The sequence below is a fragment of the Homo sapiens genome, chromosome 2 (assembly GCF_000001405.40).
Source record: "Homo sapiens chromosome 2, GRCh38.p14 Primary Assembly".
NCBI lineage: Eukaryota > Metazoa > Chordata > Mammalia > Primates > Hominidae > Homo > Homo sapiens.
In genome coordinates, this window is record NC_000002.12 from 148,509,293 (window position 1) to 148,530,583 (window position 21,291).

At 42.4% G+C, this 21,291-nt stretch overlaps 1 protein-coding gene and 1 long non-coding RNA gene across 32 annotated transcripts in view, besides 1 other annotated feature; both read left to right on the forward strand.

Annotated features, from left to right (window-relative positions):
• MBD5 (methyl-CpG binding domain protein 5) overlaps window positions 1-7,679 on the forward strand; it is a 496,045-nt gene extending 488,366 nt beyond the window's left edge. For 29 of the 31 annotated variants that reach the window (XM_047445056.1, XM_011511472.3, XM_047445068.1 and 26 more), the window contains 2 exons: window positions 768-843; window positions 3,578-7,679. In XM_047445056.1, coding sequence (XP_047301012.1) covers window positions 768-843; window positions 3,578-3,649 — 148 coding nt within the window. In that variant the 3' untranslated portion in view covers window positions 3,650-7,679. Of the gene's footprint in view, window positions 1-767; window positions 847-3,577 lie in introns of those variants that run through there. The other 2 variants (XM_024452988.2, XM_024452989.2) reach the window with 1 other exon arrangement.
• LOC124907896 (uncharacterized) lies at window positions 10,788-20,131 on the forward strand. The gene is made up of 2 exons (XR_007087259.1): window positions 10,788-10,900; window positions 12,415-20,131. It is a non-coding gene; the product is annotated as an uncharacterized LOC124907896 (long non-coding RNA).
• Window positions 13,902-14,439: an enhancer, noted in NCBI's record as "OCT4 hESC enhancer chr2:149280763-149281300 (GRCh37/hg19 assembly coordinates)". NCBI's record gives its function as "activates a minimal SCP1, AML or CMV promoter by ChIP-STARR-seq in naive H9 embryonic stem cells {active_cell/tissue: H9 hESC(naive)}" and the evidence as "EXISTENCE:reporter gene assay evidence [ECO:0000049][PMID:30033119]".
• Window positions 20,132-21,291: the final 1,160 nt, after the last annotated feature.

A 21,291-nucleotide genomic window follows, 5' to 3' on the forward strand; every position in this document is an offset into this window, starting at 1 on the left:
TAGCATGGATTTACCTGATTTTAGTTCAACAGCTTCATAGATCTAAGCTTCAAAAATGGCAGATGCACCGTGTGTGTTATTCGGGCCAAACATGTGTAATGGAATGCTAAGTGGAGAGAAAAGGTCAGAGAAGTGATAGGCACCCTGAGGCCGTCATTCTTTATCTGTTCAAATAGTTACCTCATTTTGGCTTTTGGCCCTGGGGGGCAGGCTCCGGAGCCTCAGGTGCGTCAGAGTTAAGCTGTTTCCCACCCCGGAACACGCACCGGCATTTCAGCCTTCACTTGCTCAACTCCAGAGCCAGGACGCTCCAGAGAGGACAGAGGGAGCTCCCTAGTGGCCAGAGCCTGCAGTTCAGCCCCTCCGCCCTTCCTCTGATCACACAGTCAGGCTGACTGAGAAAGAAACAAGAAGCAACACAGGGCCGGCTGGAGCCAGGGAGCATGAGGGGCGTCTCTGGGAGAGGGAACCCGTGGCCCAACTTTCTTCCCAAATCACCAGATTGTGGAAGAAGCATGTGGAAGAGGAAAAAGTCCATCTCCCCGCCCCACAATCTGTTCAACTTTTTTTAGTAGTTCTGTGACTTTAATCATTAGTATTCAGTGATAAGAATCCCAGAGTGATGTTTTGTCATCTGAATTTTCCAAACGCGAGTATAAATTGGCTTTCTCTCGTGGAATTGGTACTTTTGTTTTCTGATTAGGAAATTAAATTGAGTTTTGTTTCTTTAATTTTTTAATCTGGTGTGTTGTTTTCATTAATTCCAGAAGTGGAAAGCTAAATAACCATTTAGAAGCTGCTATTCATGAGGCCATGAGTGAACTGGACAAAATGTCTGGGACTGTAAGTTAATTTATTTTTCCATTATACTACGTTTCTTTGAAAATAAATTGTGTTACACTTTTTGGTAAAGTCTCTTGAGTATTGTCAAACAACTCACATAGCAATACTAAATTACTAGCCTAGAAAAAAAAGACAAATATTAGAAAAGATTCAAAGTCATTTAAGAAAAAGAAACCTACCACATTAACTATGTCTTTCTTCCTGAGATAAGTAATTTTGTTTTGCCACATAACGTTCGTTTAAAATATGAGCAGCAAAATATTGAAGTTCAAACCACAGCTTTCTGCACTTGACTCTGTGAATGGCCATGGCCATTACTGTTGCTTATATATGTAGTAATGCAAACTTTGTTCTGTCCATTGAACCAAAAAGACAGTGGGGTCAAGATCAAGAGTATATAGACCTCTCATATCCCATTTTTATTGAACTGTGCATATAATAGCATTGAGTGTGAGAAGTTTAATCGTTATGCTCCAGTTCACATATTGACTGATGTAAATACTTAAAATATAATTTTGGTAATCTGTTAAAAATGTGAATTGTCTAAGGCTATTTAGCATGAAAAATAATTTCTTTTATTTGACCTTATGTTACAAGGTTATCTGAATCCCAACAAACCATCCAATGACAATTGAATGATGGGATTAGTATAGGTTTTAGAGATTTTGTAATCCAACCAAACCATCATTTCGCAGATGGGTGAATTGAAGCCCTGAGACATTAAATTTCCTGATAAAATTATAGGAAAGATCTAGATTGGGGATTATAAACTCAAATGTTTTCTAGGGCCAGGCAAATTATATCAGTAAGTAAAGTGGGCCAGGTATGACAGCAGTTGGAATGGATGAGAAATGCCAGTGAAGATCCATGGGTTAGGGTAGGCTACCAATCTAGAGGCTCAGCACAGTATAAGCCATTACCCACTTGAGTCTGGTGCTGGTTGAGGAAGGGTTGCTCCACACCAGGGCACAGATTCTTTCTGTATCTAGTGACCACCTCTCTTAGGACCTCAGAGTGCTCCATTATATCCTTTGCATTTTGCCTTGAAGGTAAAAGAAAAGAGCGTGCTAAGAATACTGCCAGCATAGGTTTTATGAGCCAGACCTGGAAGCTCATTCTGTTGACTTTCCACTGACCTGACCTAATCATATGGCCTTCTTAACTCAAGTAGAATAGGAAATAGAACATAGAATGTGCCTGCCCAGGAAAAAGAGAAAATGAGTTTGGCCATCATCTCTCTAGGCTCTGCCTCGGGACATTTGGTCCTGGTGGAAATCAGGTAGTTGAGAGTAATAAGGATCAGGGCAACCTGGGAGTCATGTGCTCTCTCCAGAAGGCATTCCTTCCATGCTCCAGCAGATCTTAGACATCTGGGAAATTGTGTTCATGTTGCAAGATCTTTCCATTTTTCATATAAAACTAGAAGTCTAGAAGTAAATTTTCTCATTTTTATGGGTTGACAACTGTTTTAAAAAATATTAAAGTGCCATATGGCTAAACAAAATACCATTTCAGCCACATTTGGTCCACAGATTACTAGTTTGCAGTCTCAGTTATAAAAAGTTTCTTTCCTCAGTTATAAAAAGTTTTGGCTCTTTACTACAGAATAGTTGTTTTAAAAAATGTGTATGGAGAAGATTAGGAGGAATAGGCAGATTGAAAAACCCATAAACATTATTTAAAATTTTTAAATATTATTTTTTAAAAGCATTCTGCATTTGAGTCTGGATAGCATTGCCCTTTGCTGCTGTCTAAACATTATTTTTAAGCATGTAATTGAGCCAACTTGTAGTGGATCCGGAGAGGCGATTGTACTCATCTCTTCCTAATTCTAAGTCCTGTGACATAAGGTTGGCCAGGGTAAAAGTTTTACACCACAGAAACTGGCAAAATGCTAAAATGGACTTGTGTCGAAATGCTGATTAAGCATTTGCTACACCATTGCCTTGGGTTCATCCCTCCTCTCCTAGGTCTTGGACCTTGCTCCTTTCCACCAATAGCTACAAGACAATTTGATCACTCCCTCCTCCAAATTATACCTGCTATCTAATGCTGCTCAGCCACTGCTCAATCTGATGAACAGCACTAAATGTTGCTAGTTCCTGCATTAGCACATAAAGAAAGGTGAGTTGTATTAACTGCTCCTCCCAGACTACACAATTTCAGATCTGCCAACAGATGATAGTGGTATTCTCTTTTCCATTTTGATTCTTCTTATGAACAAACATCCTTGGGCTGAGCTATGTGTGCATGTTATTATAATTTGTGACCCTTCCTAGTCATTGTAAAATAAGTAGGGTAACAAAGTGAGGGAAAAAAAGGGGCATGTTTGGTGTGTAATTATTCATTCTTCCAGGCTGTAGTGAAATTGGTGATCTAGGGTCTCTGACAGGGAAGGCTTTATTTTTGTTTTAAATGGACAATGGGGGTAACAACTGCACATTGCATTTCCCATACTTGATTTTGTCCAGTTCATCCTTTGTTTTCCACTGTCTATTGGCACCCGCAGAGTGTTGCACTGCTTATCAGTTTCTAGCATTCTGCATTCTCTGTAGTGACTGTGGGCACACTGACATCTGGGGTCTTGGTAAACATTTGAAGTGCCTCAGGATATCAGTAATTGAAAGTGAAAGCCAGAGTCTATTCCCTACCCTGCTCCTTTGTCAGAAATTTTATGGTGTTTGTGATTTCATCCTCTGTTGTTGTTGTTTTTTTTCTACCTTTTTATTTCCAGGTACACCAAATCCCACAGGGTGACAGACAAATGAGACCCCCCAAACCCAAGAGGAGGAAGATCTCCAGATAACAGAGACTACTCCACTAATGCGCAGTGTTTATTAAAGGAACATGCACAGATGTATCTGTATATAGGTATTGATATAGCCACAGTTATATCAATATTTAGACTATGGCAGATAGCTACCACCACCACAGGGTGCTAAAAGAAACAGTGATACAAAATTTTTTTGATCAGGAAGGATAATGAATGCTGGAAAAGCCAATCAAAGTCTCTGTGTGATGAGAGTGATCAATGGTCAAGAGATTACTGAGAAACTCTTTTTCTATAATACTAAATTGTGATTATAAGAAATAGTCCAAATGTTTCTGAAGAATTTTCAATGTTGTATATAGAAAATACAGAATTTCATGGTGATATCAGAAATGTAAATATTGTACAGTATTGTCATGTACAAGCGTACCTAATGCACACTTTATCTTTTATTGTACAAAGAAATAGTGTACAAAATTCTTTGGTTTCTATGGAGTACACCTACCAGAGACTACCAGTGTAAAGTGATAAATAAAAATACAACCTAAATGCTTTTCTATGATAATGTAAAAGATGCTGTTTTTGTATTTAACAGCAGAGAAAAGGCATGATGATGTAATATCTGAATTATGACATACACTGCACACCACTGAGTGTCCATTTATATTGTCTGTTTGGAATGAACCTTGCCTGGAAGCACTGGACTCAATTTCGGGTGTCTAGGAAATTGCAACTTTGCAGATTTCTAAAGGGATGAGGGCTCACAGGTCTAAATTAAGAATTCAGAAACTGCAACCATTTGTTGCATATTTTTTTTACCTAAGTTTTAAAATAGAATAGGTTTTATAAAAAAAAATCTTAGATGGAATATTTTACTCAGCCATTTCTGTAGTTAACATTTGATAGCCACCTGTTGAAGCAGATAGCTTATACTGACTGCACCACCGCTGGTGCTCAGAATTGAGGGTTTTTTTGCAAATGATATCTGACAAGGTAAAACTTTCTATTTCCGTACATGGAGGCAAAAACCCCACTTTGCAACCATTATCAGAGGTAAGATTGATAATAATTCATTTTTTTGTAGTGGCAAATATAAATATGAATCATCAAAGCAAGTTTCATATCCATTCATCAGTATTACTTAACCCAGAAGTTAAGGTGGCTTACGGAATTATTAGCAATGGTAATTTTTTTATCAGTATTGTGTAACATATCAGATTTATTTTATTTAAAGAATTATTTATACCATTAACAGATTCTTATATATATTAATGTGGCAAAAATGTGCAGGTTAAATCTATTAACCAAATTATTTATATTATATTAAGTAAGAAAAAATGTGAAACAAATGTAGAGAGAAAATACTACATTACAAGTATACAAACCTAAAACTGTGAGCCATTGTAAAGTACAAGGTAATTAATAAGAAATGTAGCACAACATAATTTTCCGTCTTCTTCTCACAATTTTTGTGGTGGTGGTATTACCCTATCTTCCAGGCAGTTAAGCAAAGTTTAGGCTTCCAGCCTGACTTCAGTTGATGGATTGTCAAAAGAAGGGATCTATTATCCCTTTATTCTTGGAACCACCAGTCCCTGCCCCAAACCCTTAAACCCCTAGAGAGCACTGCCTCGTCCTCTAGCCTGGGGCTCACACAACAGTCTGCCACTCAGGCTGCTAGGAGATTCTCCAATAGCAGGCTCAGCACCTCAAACTGCCCACCACCTCTCCTACTGCTCCTCTCCCACCCACCACCCAAACTCCTCAGTCCTGTCATGTAGCAGAGTTCCAGTAACTCAGGAAAATGGAGACCAAGGTCATTCCTTAAGTTGGTTTCTTGGGGCCACAGCACAGAGCATGCCACCTGGGCTCACTTTTGATAGCAACAGCTCTTAGTTATTCCCCTAGGTCTCCTGTGTCTCTCTGTCCCTCTGTTCCTACTTTCAACCTACCCCCAAGCCTGATGGAATGCAACTGGCTACCCTGGGCTTCATGACCTCAAAGTAGGAACCCTTCGTTCTGGGGGTAGGTTCATTTTGTCTCTCTTGTAATGGTGGGATTGCCTGCCCAGTTCCTTCATGCAGTCACATGAAGTAATCTTTTGTGTAGTTTAGTTGACACATGTTTATAAGTTAAAAGTTGATGTGGCTAGTATGTTTAAACCATTAATGTCCATTTTTTTTGCACCAACCTGTTTTTCTACTGTTTTTTCCTACACATTTTTGTTTATTCACAGACAGACAGACATGTGTGTTTGTATGCTGGGTGTGTCTGTATGTGTGTATGTGTTGATATGTAAATTTTTTAGCCTTTGCTTTTCTGTCTTCAGGCTGAGTTTGTGTTGACCAAGCCTTCTTTTTGGTATTTTGAGCTAATTCAGTTTGTGCTTCCCTCCCATTGTATACTTTACATAAGTAGACCATGTAAAGTATGTTTGTGCCCATGATTTCACTGGTTGCTATGGCTTTGATATGGGTGCTAGGTGTAGTAGTTTCAGTCCACGTGGGTTTTTTTCATCTCTCTTAGAGTTATATGGTTTTGTGTAAGCAGTTAATGTAAATATTGTTAGCATTACAGGTCATACAGTGCTGTAACATTTTTTTAAATGTTGCACCTACTTTACAATTAAAAAATTGGTCACTCGCACTTCAATTTTGCCCATAGAGCCATTTCTTTGTCTTTGTATTGAAGCCAATTCATTTTTTTAAATGAAGGCTAGGCCTTCTATGTTACCAAAATTTTTATTCCCTAAAATAAACTTTTTAAGAAACAAATCCAAGAATGGAAACAGATGAAAAATTTTTTCTTCTTTAAAGAACATAATAGTTCCTGCTGGAAAAGGAAATCTAATTTTATTTTGTGTCCCTTAACAGTCCTAGGAAGCACAAGGAGAATAAACTAAACCTCTAAGAAGGTTTTAAAAATTATTTCAAATGAGTGAAAATTAACTGAGCAGCTTTTGTGTGATTTGTCTTGTTTGTAGCATTAAAAGCAAACCAGGGTTTTTATTTATTTAAAGGAACATTTTTGGCTTGTACTTTTCAGTGCCATTATGAATGAAAATGTTTTAAGAACATTCATCCCTTGTGATATCATGGGCCACTTTTAGTCTTTTATTTGGACCCTGACTTTGAGTTTTTGCTATGCCTGTTTTTTAAGTAAACACAGCCTTCTTATTTGAACGTAACACTGCAGAATTGCAGGAAGAGAAAAGGGCAGTTAGTTATTTCACTTTCTGTAAGTTTTAGGAAGATTCTTATATCCTACGAGGTGACTCATGTTTCATTTTAGACCATGATAGCACATTGTTGTTAACTTTGGTAATCTTCCATGCAGTTTGCAGTGTTCCCTTGCAAGTCACAAGCATATATGCATTAAGATTTTAAAATCTAAGATGCTTAAGATGTTGGTGGCATTGCTCTTTCTGAAAAGAAAGACAAAATACTAGACCTTGCTGAAAATTGGATATCTTATTTACTTTGCCCATTTATGCCCGAATGGTGTAATGCAAGACTCAAGACTTTTCAATGTAGTATATCAAATGAGTTGTGCATTGATTCATTTGGGGGACATGAACAAAAATTATCAACCAGCCAGAACTGTAATATTTAATTAGTTCATCTTTTTCTTTCATTCACTCTATCACATTTGCATTAGCCAAAGAGATAAGAACATTAGTAATTCATATGTGTAAACAACCCAGAAGTGAATATTAAATCAGTGAGCCAAAAAGCAATAAACAACTCGAGCATGGGAAATCCTGCTAACAGTGGGGAGTCTGATATAGAAAAAATATATAAAAAGCATTATCTTCAAATATGAAAGATTAATTTGTATCTACTGTAAATATGTATTACCAGCCTTATCTGCATTTATACACACTGTGTGTGTACCTCAGTGACCTTTTATAAACCGGAAAAATGGTTGATTTAATAATTTGTTATGTAAATACAAAGTTGTCTATAAATTGGAAAATTTGATGCCAGATGGCTTCATAATATACAAATGTGTTTTGTAACATCATGCCTTTATGGATTAAGTATAAATACACTGGATTGTCTATGTAGAAGTGTAGCAGTTTACATTTCACCTGCATTTCAAATGGATATTTTTGTCCAAATGGTTATACTAATAGGAAAAGAAAACAACTTGAACATTTTCAATATGAAAAACAAATATGGTTTTGATTTTACCAAAATTCCTTTCCACACCCAAGAATCTGTTCAGTTCCATGCCGAATGTTTTGCATTATGAGATTTCCTAGGAGATTAATTGATCCACGACAGGGATCTACCTAGGAAAACTCTCCAACTGAATTATTCTTTTTGAGAGACAAGCTACACATGTTTCATTCTAACATTAGGCAGGGGAAAAGCCCAGCCTCTTACTGCTTCTTAACTTATTCTTGTCTTTGTTTCCATGTGTCTTAGAAAGCACCACACAGATGAATAGGGTCTAGCTTTTGTGAGCAAAGGTGGCTACAGAGTGTTGCCTCATCCTTGGGCTATTGACTTGGGCAACCTAGGCTTCCCAGCTTAGGTACTGTTGATGTTTTGGGCCAGGTCATTTTTTGTTCTGGAGGCTGGCCCATGCATTATTGGATATTTGGCAGCATCCGTGGCCTCTACTCACTAGATGCCAGTAGAGCCTCCTCCTAAATTGTGACAATCGAAAATAACTCCAGACATTACTCCCAGGGTGAGAGATGGAGGTGGGATAGGGGAGGGAGGGCAAAATGAGATTTGAAAACCACTGCCTTGATGGAATCAGTTAGGCTTATTATGTCTGTGTGAAATATGGGCATATTTGCATGCAATAATCAACAGGAACCTGATTCCTAGAAGCAGCCAAAATCCATACCAAATGAGTGCTTCTCAGTCTGTGGATAAAGGAGTAAATACACTAATGTCAGATTTACTTTGAACACCTTTGACACTTTCGATCCTAAGACCCGGGATGATCATGTTTTGAGGACGCTCAAATAGTAGTTTAGTAGAGATACCTAAATGCTCATGGCTCAGAGTTTGCAAGAAAACTGATAGTTCTCTTTGCGTTATACAAGGAGCTTCAGGTAATGGAAGACTTCCAGATGATAGTGTAGCTGCCTCCATTAGGCCGAAATGAGGAACTGGGCTAAGGGGAGCATGTTATGTATATATTTTAACAGCTTTCTACAGCAGCCTAGTTCAGGTGTCAGTGTTTGTGCAATCCTCTTATAAGTTCTGACAGAAGCAGTTCCTTAGAGCTTGGTGGTATCATGGATATATTTATTCATTGAATACATTCTTACTGAGTGCCACTATGTGTGTGCACAGTCTGTGCGTAGCCGTGGGGATACAATGACGAATAAGACAAGCCCATTCTCTGCCCTTACAGAGCTAACGAAGGAGATGGCCAAACATGTAAGTAAAAGAAAGGATGATAAGGGATAGGGGAGCACATGTCAGGGCTACTGACTTCGTTTAATAGGGATGGGGGTTTGAACAAGGATCAGAGAAAGATGAATAGAAAATAGGCAAAGGAAGAATGTGTGGCATCAGGGAGGGTGAAGGACAGTGTGTTTGAGGCAGAGAGAATGGCACATGGAAAGGCTTGAAGGTCAGAAGAAGCAGGAGAGAAGAATGGCTGCAGAGCCGCGGAGGCCAAGGCAAGTCTTCTCAAGATTTTGCCCTTAACATGGCAGTAATGGGGAATTATTGTTGGTTTTTAAGGAGGGGGTGATAGGATCAGGTTTGTGTTTTAGAAATATTTATTCTGGCTGCAGTGTTAAGAATGGACAATTGGAGAGGGGTAAGACTGAAAAGCACACAATACATATATCTCATTTCAGCACAGCATTGCAAAAAGCACATCCTTCCTTGACAATTAAAATAACAATTCAGACCCAGCAAAATTCTTCATATAAGCAATTTCCTTCTCAGTCTTGAGGTCAATGTAAATATATATATGTAAATTCATGTTAGTAGTCATGAAGAAATGTTCTCCAGTACACTTACACTTACTGCCAACATTATTCCCTACTTCTTCTACACAAATGGGAAAGCAATAATGTTCCTACTTCGGTGATTAAAAGTCAGGAACATTTAAAATCCTAGGACGTTTTGCTAACATGGTAGGAAGCAAGGCCCGCCAAGCAGAGCGCACAGGTAAGTGCAGGTCAGGTATGGACCTTTGGTTTCTTACACGCCTCCCCCAGGACACAGGAAGCTGCAGTGGAAAACTCAGGATGCCAGAGGTACCAGGTGAGCCCTGAGGATTATGAAAGCAAAGGAAATCAGGACCACAGGTGGTCAGCGCCCAAAACAGGGCCATCTGGCTACCGGGATCTCTGCCACACAGCAGGGGAGACCACGGTGGCCTTTCATCATCCACTCCAGCCTGTGATTATGTACATGCTCTTCAGAGTATCCCCAGCCGCCCTTAGTCACCTCCTACACTCAATATAACAGTGAACTTGAGGGCTTTTTAAAGTTAATTATCTATTTTTTAAAAAACAAACAGAGGCAGTGCAATAACAGGCACCCAATCCTACGATCCTGAGGCCAGCCAATAGCCCCTTCCTCCAGCACAGGTCCCTGTACACAGAAAATGAACCCTCAACTGGGGGCAACCCATTGGAACAGTTACAGACTGCGCCCTGAAGGGTCCCCCAATCTAGATACATTCAAATCTAGACTGTGCCACTAACTAGTTGTTTGATTTTGGGCAAGTTACTTAACCTATCTATACTTAGCTTTTGACAAAAGAGTGGGTGATAACAGCACTTTCCTCGTGGGATTGATTAAAGATTGAATGAGATAATGTAGATTTGATAAAGCTCTTCATGCCTGGCACATGCCAGGCATTCAGGGAACATTTATTATTAAACTGCAGTATGAAAGTTTTAGGTTAGCAAAGGGGAAAGGTGTTGTCAAACATAAGGAGGAGATCTGTCTAGAGTGACTGTATCGACTGTATCTTCCTGGGACACCTTTTTTTTTTTTCTTGAGACAGGGTCACACTCTCTCACCCAGACTGGAGTGCAGTGGCGGAATATCAACTCACCACAACCTCTGCCTCCCAGGCTCAAGCAATTCTCCTGCCTCAGCCTCCTAAGTTGCTGGGATTACAGGCGCGTGCCACCACCCCCAGCTAATTTTTTATTTTTAGTAGAGACAGGATTTCGCCACGTTGACCAGGCTGGTCTCGAACTCCAGACCTCAAATGATCCACCTGCCTTGGCCTCTCGAAGTGCTGGGATTGCAGGCATGAGCCACCACGCCTGGCCTTCCTGGGACACCTTTACAGGTAGGAGAGGGGTTTACTTGTCTAGGAAAGTTCTGCTGAAAGGGAACAGCATTGTGGCCACCTTTTCTGGTTCTCCCCTTAGAGCCCAAGGTTTCTGGATCTACTACTGAGAGTGTTGCCTAGATGAATTCCACCGTCCATGATGCCACACACAGAAGTGGATCAGGGCAGAGTCAGAATCGTATAATTCAAGAACTTCTAACCTTCAGCCTGGGCGAAGCTGGAACCAGCTCTGTAAATAAATAGCTCAGGACTCGAAAGTATAAACAACCTAAAATCAGTCCAATCAGGGAATGCAGAGTTCAGTACAGGGAAAAGTATATTTTTAACCTGAGAGACTGAAATTTGGGGGCTTCGATCTTGGCACTGACTGGCTCTGTGATCTATGATTTGGTACAAATCACTAAAAAGATCCTGGAGCCAGACTCCCAGGATGTGGATCCGGTCATTTCAGGAGCTCTGTGACCTTAGGCAAATTCCCCCGCCTTAGTTTTACTAACCTAAAAAATTGGGATGATAAGAAACCTACCTCATAAAATTATGTGAGGATTACCTAAATGAATACAGATGAAACACTTAGAAGGGTGTCCTCTATGGTAAGTGCTATGTAAGTTAGGTTATTGTTACTACTGTTAATATTAGAGGCTGAGCCTCACTCAGTTTATGGGAGTGATGCAGCCCTCATGTATGTTAGAGAACCAGCCTTCCGTGCAGTGGTCACTTAAGAGGGTCCTGCTGTTCACATTTAACCATGTAGTTCTCTTCTTTTAATTTAAACATGGATACTCTTGAGAGGAGTAAGATTTTGAACCAATCAAGAGTCAGGAAGTTCCCAGAAGATTTGGGAGTAAGAGAGTAGGTGTAAGAGGGTGTTCATAACTATCTTAGGATTAGATGTACTCAAAAGACTACCATAAAAATGAAAAGAGATAATACATGGAAGAATGCTTTTAAAAGGGGAGAAGAAAGCACTAATATTGTAAGTGGTAGTATTTTTAAGTGCTATTAAGGATGATTATTTATTTCTTAATTGGAAGTTCATGTCTAAATTCTGTACCTAGACTTTTCCAGACTGAAGACTTGGGCATATCTTGCTAAAAGATGGGGGCAGAATGTGTTCAGCACCGGTAGAGGGGGTAGGTTTAGCTGAGCCTCTGTGAGGGTTTTAGCAGAGCCTCTGTGGGGTTTCCTGTCCTTCCAGCTCCCACTGCAGAACACTGTGTATGAGGAACACAGCCAGAAGGACTGGTGGCCTGAGGCTTTGGTCCCTGAACTGTGACCAGGTCCCCCTAGAACACAGCTTTCCCTGCCAAGTTAATCTTAAATAACTTTGGTGGTCAGGGAGATAACCTTAGGGAAAATCTCCTGTGACCTTTTACAGACTCTGTCTCCCTTTTCCAATCAAATCAGGATTATTTAGAATCGGTGGATTCCTTTGAATTCCTAAATAAGCATGGAGGTCAGGAGCTTGTGATTTCAGGCTAATTGTCACTGTTCTGGTTTATTTGGCAAAGTGGGAAGCAAACATTCACCAGAGCTGGGAGAAAAAAGCATGCAAGAATTGGAATGAAGAGATGCACTGGGCTGCTTCTGGACAAGCTGTCTGTCTAGGCAAGAGTCAGCAAAGGCAAGAAGAGACCATTTCCTTCTCCATTTCTCTTGGTTTCCTGGCTCTTCCCAAATGTCCAGGGGATCCTGAAGGGGGTGAAGGGTGGGGGTGGTAGGGGAAGTGTGTGCCTTGTGCCTTCTAAGGCAACCATGTTGGCCAAAAGAATCAAGCCATGACAATGGCCATTGTGAAGACCCCGCAGCTTTCTGAGCAGAGAACACAGCGAAAGAGCTGTGTGGTTCCTGTCTCAGAGCATAGCTTTCCTTTCTCTAAGGCAATGGTCTCCAAACTTTTCTTCAAGAATTCCTATCAGTAAAGTAAAAATAAAATTGAGGACATACTATGCATATATACATATGTGCATATGTACTTTATGTGTGCTACTGAATTAATATATCATATGTGTTATAAAACACACAAAATAGAAACTAGGTAACTGAGATGAACTGATAGGTTTATATTTTCCTCCCTCTTCCCAGTGGATTGCCTTGCATCATGGCCAGGGTGTGTGCATTCAACTTTGGCAGTCTTGGCCTGAGTGACAGAATACTGGAAGGTCCTAATAAGCTTCTCCAATGAGCATAGGCAGTGATGGAACCAAACCATCAAAATGAGCTCTTCAAAGAAGAACCCAGGTTTTCCTCTTCAGCTGCATATGATCAATTCTAATTAAATGGTAAAGGAAAGAAGAATAGAAGGAAAGAATTCTTGAAAATCTGGTAACTAACATGGAAGCTGTGCTTTATATCAGGTTATGTGAGTAATCTTGATCTGTCTACAAGCTCAAAGTTTCTATCCAAATATATTTATCTGGATCCGAGGCAGGATCACTGCCAGGCTCTGTCACCTGCTCAGGAGAGTCACCTACCCAGTATACAAGGGGATAACCACAGGGCACACCGAAGCCATTGCAGAACTTCCCAAGCTTGGGTCAGGCCTCCTGACTCTACACACGCACGTGTACTCCACCCATTCCCAGCCTCCCAGCTTTCTTGACAAGTACCCAAGGAGGATGGTTCTTGTCAACTCATTGATAAGGTCATGGTATTGTGGAGCAGGAGCTAACCTGTGTTCTATTTTCAGCTCTCTTGTTAGCTGTGTGAGCTTGGGCAAGTGCCTCACCTTCTCTGAACCTGAGTTTTTGCATCTGTTTAGGCCATGATATTACCCTGCCTACCCCACAGTGTTATCACGAAATTCACATGAACACACATATGAAGGTGCTTTGCAAACACTGTACAAGTGAAATTGTAAGGTATCCTGACTCATGTGCTAAGGCCTTTTCAAGGCACAAGGACAAATGTTTCCCAGGGATCCTATAGTTAGCCACTCTGAGGCATTTTCCCTTAGGAGCCCAGCCCTGAGGGAAACTGGCTCATGGCAGATTTTTAATCCGAACCCAGAGCTCTGGAGGCTTTATAATCCTAAAGACTAAACCAGGTGAACAACAAAAACATCCATAAAGCAATTTGGGTAAATTTCCATGCTTCCAGGTAATGCCTAGGTTTCTAAGGGGTTGCATTTGTTTGTTCAGTCATTCAAGAATTTATAGATCATCTTAACTCTGAGATAAAGTGAAAAAAAGAGCTCATGTTCCAGCAGATGAGAAAGACATGGAAACAGTCATTGCAAGACACTGACAGGAGCCACAAACCAGGTATGCATTACAATGGGCTTTGGAACACTGGGAGGCTTAAATAAATCGAGTTAAGTGACTTATGAAAGAATAGGAGTTCAGGCATGGCCAGCAGGGGCAAAAGACATTCAAGAAAGAGGAAAAGAAGTGCAGAGATCAGGAGTGGGGCTGAGGGGTAAGGAGGGGTAGAGAACAGCATGATTTTCTGGGAACTGTAAGGGATTTAATAAGTCTTGAATGTAACATAAGGAAGAAGAGGGGTAGACAGTAAGCATAGAAAGTAAGCAGAAGCCAGATCATGGTGGAAGTGGGGTGGCAGCAGGTCTCCCAAGCCAGTAGAAAGTGGAAAAGGGCAGGTGCTCTGCCCTCAAACCCACCCCATTTTCCATAGGAGGACCAGGAAGATATCTGGGAAGAAGAGACGTACCTAAAAGAAATTTTTTTCTTGAAAAGCCATTTATGCCATGTACTGGGCAACATAAACTCCCTTTGTGCCTCCAAAAATCTTTAGAGAAATTTCAAAAAAGTTATGATGTGTGTGGTATAATTGCTTTTATTGTTATAGCTAGTTTAGAGGCTGAATTTTGTATTAAGGATAGCTCAGAATCAGCTCATGCTGATAAAGAGGGAACTGACCTCTGAGTTTTTAAATCATGCCCTGTAATGAATAGTTCATGTTCCTGACAAAGTAATCAAATTCATTAACTAGCTTTAGTCCTAGTAGGAGCCCCTTTATTTCAGGAATTGACATCAAGCCTAATCTGTTCCAGGAGGAATGAATCTCCTCCATTGAGCATATGCTTACCAAGTGCCTATCACACTTACCATATACAGATATGAAGAAACCTCAGTAAGACTAAATTCTATATTGAGGGACTGTTCACCTTTTTTTGCCCACTCAGGATACCAGGCATCTAATAGGAAGGCTGGGCCCATTCAGTCCAGATTTATAACAACTCCTCAAGGAATCTGTGAAACCAACTGCAAGTACTTGTTGAGACTAAGCCAACATTCTTTGCAGTAAGAACCAGAGAAATTTTATTCTCTGTGCTTAACAACAAAGGACTTCAAGAATTGCTTCTGTCTCTCCTTCATGAGAAAAGTGGCTGGCAATCACTCTTAACCTGTCTAGTTGAAGGCATAGCTCTGGTCTGATCTAGGTCACCATTGGGCTTCCTGTGCTGTCATCTGCTGCCTCTTGCCGCAGATTCCTGGTGGTATGTCTCAGCCTTTGCATGAAACACAACCATGAAACACTAAGTGCCAATCATTTCCTATAAACTGCTTTGATTTCCTCCATGAAGCTCTTTTAAAAAATCTGGTATTGTGGTATTTATAGCTTCCTGTTTCTGCCACCTACATATTCTGATGGTTGTTGTGCTTTCTCTTTGGAGATAGATAAACATTCACAGCACCAAAGGGAGTAAGGGCTTTGTACCTTTTTTCATGGAAAGAGTTAGTCATATTTAGATTGAAGTTATAGCTTAAAAAGGAGCCCTCGTTGTATAGAAACATGGATGCCATGACACCTCCAGTGCAATATTTTTAAGCCTCTCCCTGCCATTGGTCACTTACATAGTACTGTTAAATCACTCTGTGGAATATTGTTTCTATCTTCTAGAAGCTCACAATCTATGTCAGAAGATTAGACATGCAAGTGTCTGTTGAAGTAGCTGGAGAGTGAGGCAGGAGGAGTGGAAGGATGGCCAGCAGCATGGAACCCACAAGGGGAGATTTCACAGAGGAGCCTCAATGGTGTGGGGGGTCAGGAAGAAAAAGGACCAGACAGCTGTGAATTTTGTTTCCAGGACATAAATAGGGGATTTCTAGCAAATACACCCAGGTGAGTGTGTAGAACGGGCAGTCAGATGCAAGGGGTAAAGGAGGCGGAGAGGGAGCAAAGCCATCTAGAAAGATTGTTCCTTCAACATGTGCAGTGAAAGAAATCATGGCAAAGGGAAAGCCAGGATTAGGTTGTTTGGCAGGATGCTGCAGTAGGCATACTCAGGGGCTTCTGCTCTACCTGCTCTCCCTTCTCACAATCTACCCCTACCCACATGCCTGCTGAGTGGAAAGGGAATTGGTTATCCCAACGGTTATTCCAATCTCCTGGCCTTGGGTGATTGGACCAAGATGAGCACCTGATTTGAGGAGGGCCAACCTAAGTTTCCAATGACATGTCACCTGACTGACTGGCCTCAAAAAGATGAATATGGAACAATCAGATTCGTTCTCATAGGAAGCCCAAACCAAGAGGCACAGAGAGGAGATGCCCTTCAGGAATGGATCCTTGAGATGAAAATCAAGTTGATGAGAATAAAGTGGCTGTTATCAGGTCGTGTGTATGCATAAGTCATGGGGAACCACAGGAAGTAGCTGGGAAAGAGAGAACAACAGATACAGGGAAGAAAGTGGAGAAGCCGGGAATGAGAAAGAGCGATCACCTCTAGCATTTCCTGTATGCCAAGTGCTGCACTAAGTCCCTAAGTCCTTTACATTAAATTACCTTATTTATTTCTCATAGCAATCTTATGACATGGATGCTATGATTATCCTCATTTTACAGATAAGAAACCAAGGCATAAACATAGTGTGCCCAAAATGACTCTTGGGAAAGCCATGATGTATACTAAATAGACTGGCTCCCTATTTAGTTTTTTTTTTTTTTAGTTTTATAAGTGCTTGCTTGTAGCCACCATGAATTACCACCTCTCAAAAGGGAGATGAGATAGAAGTGATCCCTGAAGCCATCTGACACCCAACCTTTCCTAAACTCAGGTACTTAGAGTTATTGGATTTTCCAGAGATCACCTGACCTCATGATCCTGAATGGGTTTCAGTTCCTGGCAACCAAAAGAACCCTAACCCAACTGGATAAGGAAATTGAGCATTCTGGGTGGGAGAGAATGATGTTATACAAGGGAGTGTTGATGATGCTGACCCACCTATGAGGAAGCACAAAGCGATGGGATGCATGGATATGGAGAGATTTTTCTTCTCTGTTAGCCAAGACTATCCAGCTTAGTTTTACCATCCGGCACCCACAGCACCACATGGTAAGCCAACTAGATAACCAAACCCACAGGGAGTGGCACATAACCCAGCAGCCGTGCCCTTCCAGCTGGCTCTGCCACCAGTGCAAGGTGAGGTTGGTCCTGTTATGTCTCCTCCCTTCCAAGCCTTCATTTATCTGTCAATAGAAAGGGGATGATGACAAAAGATGGAGAGAATTTGACTTGCTAGGACTCTGGGGGAGGCTGGGGAAATGCAGATTACCATGATGGGGCTGCCCCCGGGGGCAGCCAGACCCAGGTTTTCCAGAGATGGTCTCACAGAGGGAGATTGGCATGCAAGAAGTTTACCAGGGAAGGTTCTCAGGGTCAGCACTTGTGAGCGTAGAGAGGCAACAGGACATTGAGCAGAGGGGGAAGTGGCAGCACAGTCATCAGCCAGTTCCATGGGAAACTGGAACTGGGGTGGCCTTTCACATTGCCCCAAAGGGAGGCATAAGGGCTACGCTTTGTACCCCACCTCCCATGGAGAAGTCACTGGGTGTAGGATGCCCTGTTGGTGAGGCAGCTCCCTTCAGTCTGGGGCAGTTCCTGGGGAAGGGCTCAGCTGTGAGAGCTTCTGGGGGCAACATCCCATGCAGATAGAAGATGGTCTCCTCGGTCCTGAAGGGGAGCTGAGCAGGGCAGCACACCATCAGCTGCACACGAGAGCTGGGCCACACTTCCCAGGGGCCAAATAAACAGGGGAGCCCCAGCTCTGGGGAAGATGAAGGGCTGAGGGTCAGGAGGAGGTCGCAGAAGGCTGTTGCACGTGGAAACCATCCGGAAGTTAAGTGACCAGGGAAAATGCTGCTTGTGAGTGTGTGGAGACTGTAAAAGGATGGACTTCTGTAGCTGGTCTGAGGCCAGCAGGCCTGAGGAACTTAGCAAGGAGTCAGAGAGAAGCTGGTGACAAAAAAGTAGGAAATTGTAGGAAGGCTGTAGAATTAAGAGTTTGGGCCAAGTTAACCTAAACCATTTGTGTCATATTAGAGAAGGGTACTTTTCCCAGCACTCAGCTGGGTTTTGAGGATTTCGGACCTTAAAGAGCAGAATACATCTATTCCCAGGCCATGCCAGGGGCTGTTGAAAGAGGTCCTGAGAACTGTGCCAGGCCTGATTCAGGTAACAGGAAGAGATGTGGGAGAGGATAAGCCTCCGACCAAAACAGCTTCACTTCAGAGAGTTAAGGGAGTTTTATAGACTGAATCATGTCCTCCCCAGAGTCATACACTGAAGCCCTAATTCTAGCATGACCATCTGCAAGCCAAGGAGAGAGGCCTCAGGAGAAACCAACCCCGATGACACCTTGATCTTGGAATTCCAGCGTCCAGAACTGTTGTTTAAGCGCCTCCAGTCTGTGGGATTTTGCTATGGCAGCCTAAGCTAAGACAGGGAGACAGGCCACCCACCAGCTGAGAAGGTGGGTGCCAGAAGCAAAGCCAACCCGTGTGTCCTCACCTCGCTCTCCCTGCTCTTTCCTGATCCACAGTCTCTGACTCTGGAGGGGACTGCTCAGTGGCCAGCAGATGCCTGGCAGAGGCACATCTTCCCCACTACATGTGAACCCTGGACCTATGTAAAATGCCAGAAATCAGGAGCTCCCGGGTTACTTTGCACATCTGCAAGCACCAACTTCTGGTCCGGCTGCATGCACTTGACTCGGAGGGAAAGGAGCAGCTTCACACATGGGTCTCCTCGTCCCCCGCTGCTGGCCTGGCTATCGCCAATGTCACTGACCTGAATTCAGTTTTCAAAGGAAATGTGTTTCATGGTGATTCTTTTGGTTCCAGTTCAGAACTTGGATAAAAAATATGCTCCAATTTAAGAAAAATAGTCAATTCGCAAATCAAAACTGAAATCTAGAAAGGTGAAAGAGTTGACTCTCTGGGCCTCCTTATCTGAAAAATGAGGCAGTTGCACTAGATTTGTAGGTTTTCTTTAAAAGTTTTTTTTTTTAACCACAAGAAAACTTTCTTCAAAAGAAATGTTACCAGGAAGCAGAAACAAAAGAGGGGCATAAGGGTTGAGCTGCTTGATCAAAAGGGGAGAGAAAGGTTGAGTTCCAGAATCCTGCCCTCCAAGGCACGGCTTTGCAAAGCAGAGTCTAAAAGGCATTTTACTCTCATTGCCTACATGCTCCTCCAGCCTCCTGTCTGAGGATCCATGAAGAGTCAGTATTCCCACACACCCGGTTGTATACCCACCAGGCACCTCGGAACCAGTCACTGAGAACATGGGCCATGCAAAGAAGGGAGCACGTACAGGGCTCAGCAGGGGCGAGCAAGCCTGGGTCCAGGTGAGCTTCTTTAGCTCCTTCTCCCAGATTCTCCATCCAGGAGCCAACACTGACCACAGGGAGAGGGAGGGCTGGGTGGGGAGAGAGCCAGGGGAGGTGGGCCTACTGAAATTCCTCCACATAAAAACAAGAGGTGTGGCTCCAAAGTGGCACATCTTGTCACAAAGAAGGTGGAAGCAGCAGATGAGAATTCGCTCACCTCCCAAGGCCAAAACCACTTGGAATAAAGAAAATGTGGTACCTACACACCATGGAATATACTATGCAACCATAAAAAAGAATGAGATCATGTCCTTTGCAGGGACATGGATGAAGCTGGAAGCCATCAACCTCAGCAAAATAACACAGGAACAGAAAACCAAAGACTGCATGTTGCCACTCATAAGTAGGAGCTGAACAATGAGAACACATGGACACAGGGAGGGGAACAACACATACCGGGGCCTGTTAGGGGGGCGTGGCAAGGGGAGGGAGAGCATCAGGACAAATAGCTAATGCACACTAGCTTAATACCTAGGTGACCGATTGATAGATGCAGGAAACAACCGTGGCACACATTTACCTATGTAACAAACCTGCACATTCTGCACATGTATCCCAGAACTTAAAGTAAAATAAAATTTAAAAAAAAAAACCACTGGGAGACTCTCCCCAGGGCCACCTCTCCCGTGCACCTTCAGCCTCTCCTTCTCTACCAACCTCTTGCGACCATCAGGCAAATGTGTCTCTCCTCGTGAAAGATCAAACAAAACTCGATAAAAAGACCTTCAACCCCTTGTTCTCCTCCTTGCTGACAGCTTTTTGAAAGTGCCTGTAATTGTCTCCATCTCCTCATCTTGTATTCACTTTCTAAGTGTTCTTTTCTGCATGTGCATGTCTTGATTCCTTGCTCTTTTCTGGATTTGCATTGCCAATTCCCTGTCAATCACTTATTTTTGTGAATGGGTCACTAGTGCAGAGGTCGTGACCTTGGGCTTGTGTCTTTGCAGGGAGAAGTTGAGACATCCCCCAGGCTTGCGCAGTGCCCCTCCATTGAAACCAAGCACACTAAACTCACTGCCAGCCTTCTTGGTGGGTCCATTAGCGCTCATCTCCCATTCCCTCTGCCGCACCAGAACCTCAACTCCAGTCGCTCACCAGCTGCCCCTTAAAGGCACCCCTCACTGGCCACTGCCCTGTCAGTGAAGAGTAGCTGCCTCCACTAGAAGGCCTCCCACTCCCTTTCCCCTAAGCCAATGACTGCCTCCCTAACATCTCTCAATTCTCTCCATTCCCACTGCCGTTGTCCAGTTGAGACCACCATCACCTTCAATCTGCATCACTGCTGATGCAGTCGTGACTTCTGAACTAGGCTCTCGGCTCTGGTTCCCTCCTCTCTAATTAAGAATCCACATTGCCACCAGAGCAAGTAACAGACCTGTCAAATCTGTTACTCTGCTGAGTAAAACTCAAGGGATAAAATCTCAACTCCTGAGTGCAGCTTGAATTGTGTCCCCCCAAATTCATATGTTGAGTTCCTAACCCCCAATGTGACTGTTTTTAGACATGGGGCCTTTCAGGAGGGCATTAAGGTTAAACATGGTGAGATGGGTGGGTCCCAATCTGATAGGATGGGTGTCCTTATAAGAAGAGGGTGAGACGCCAACAGTGTGTTCTGCACAGAGGACACAGCAAGAAGGTGGCCCTTTGCAAACCAAGGAGTATGGCTTCAGGAAAAAACAACCCTACCAGTCCCTGAATCTTGGACTTTGAGCCTCCAGAGCTGTGGGAAAATAAATGTTGCTTAATTATGTTGTT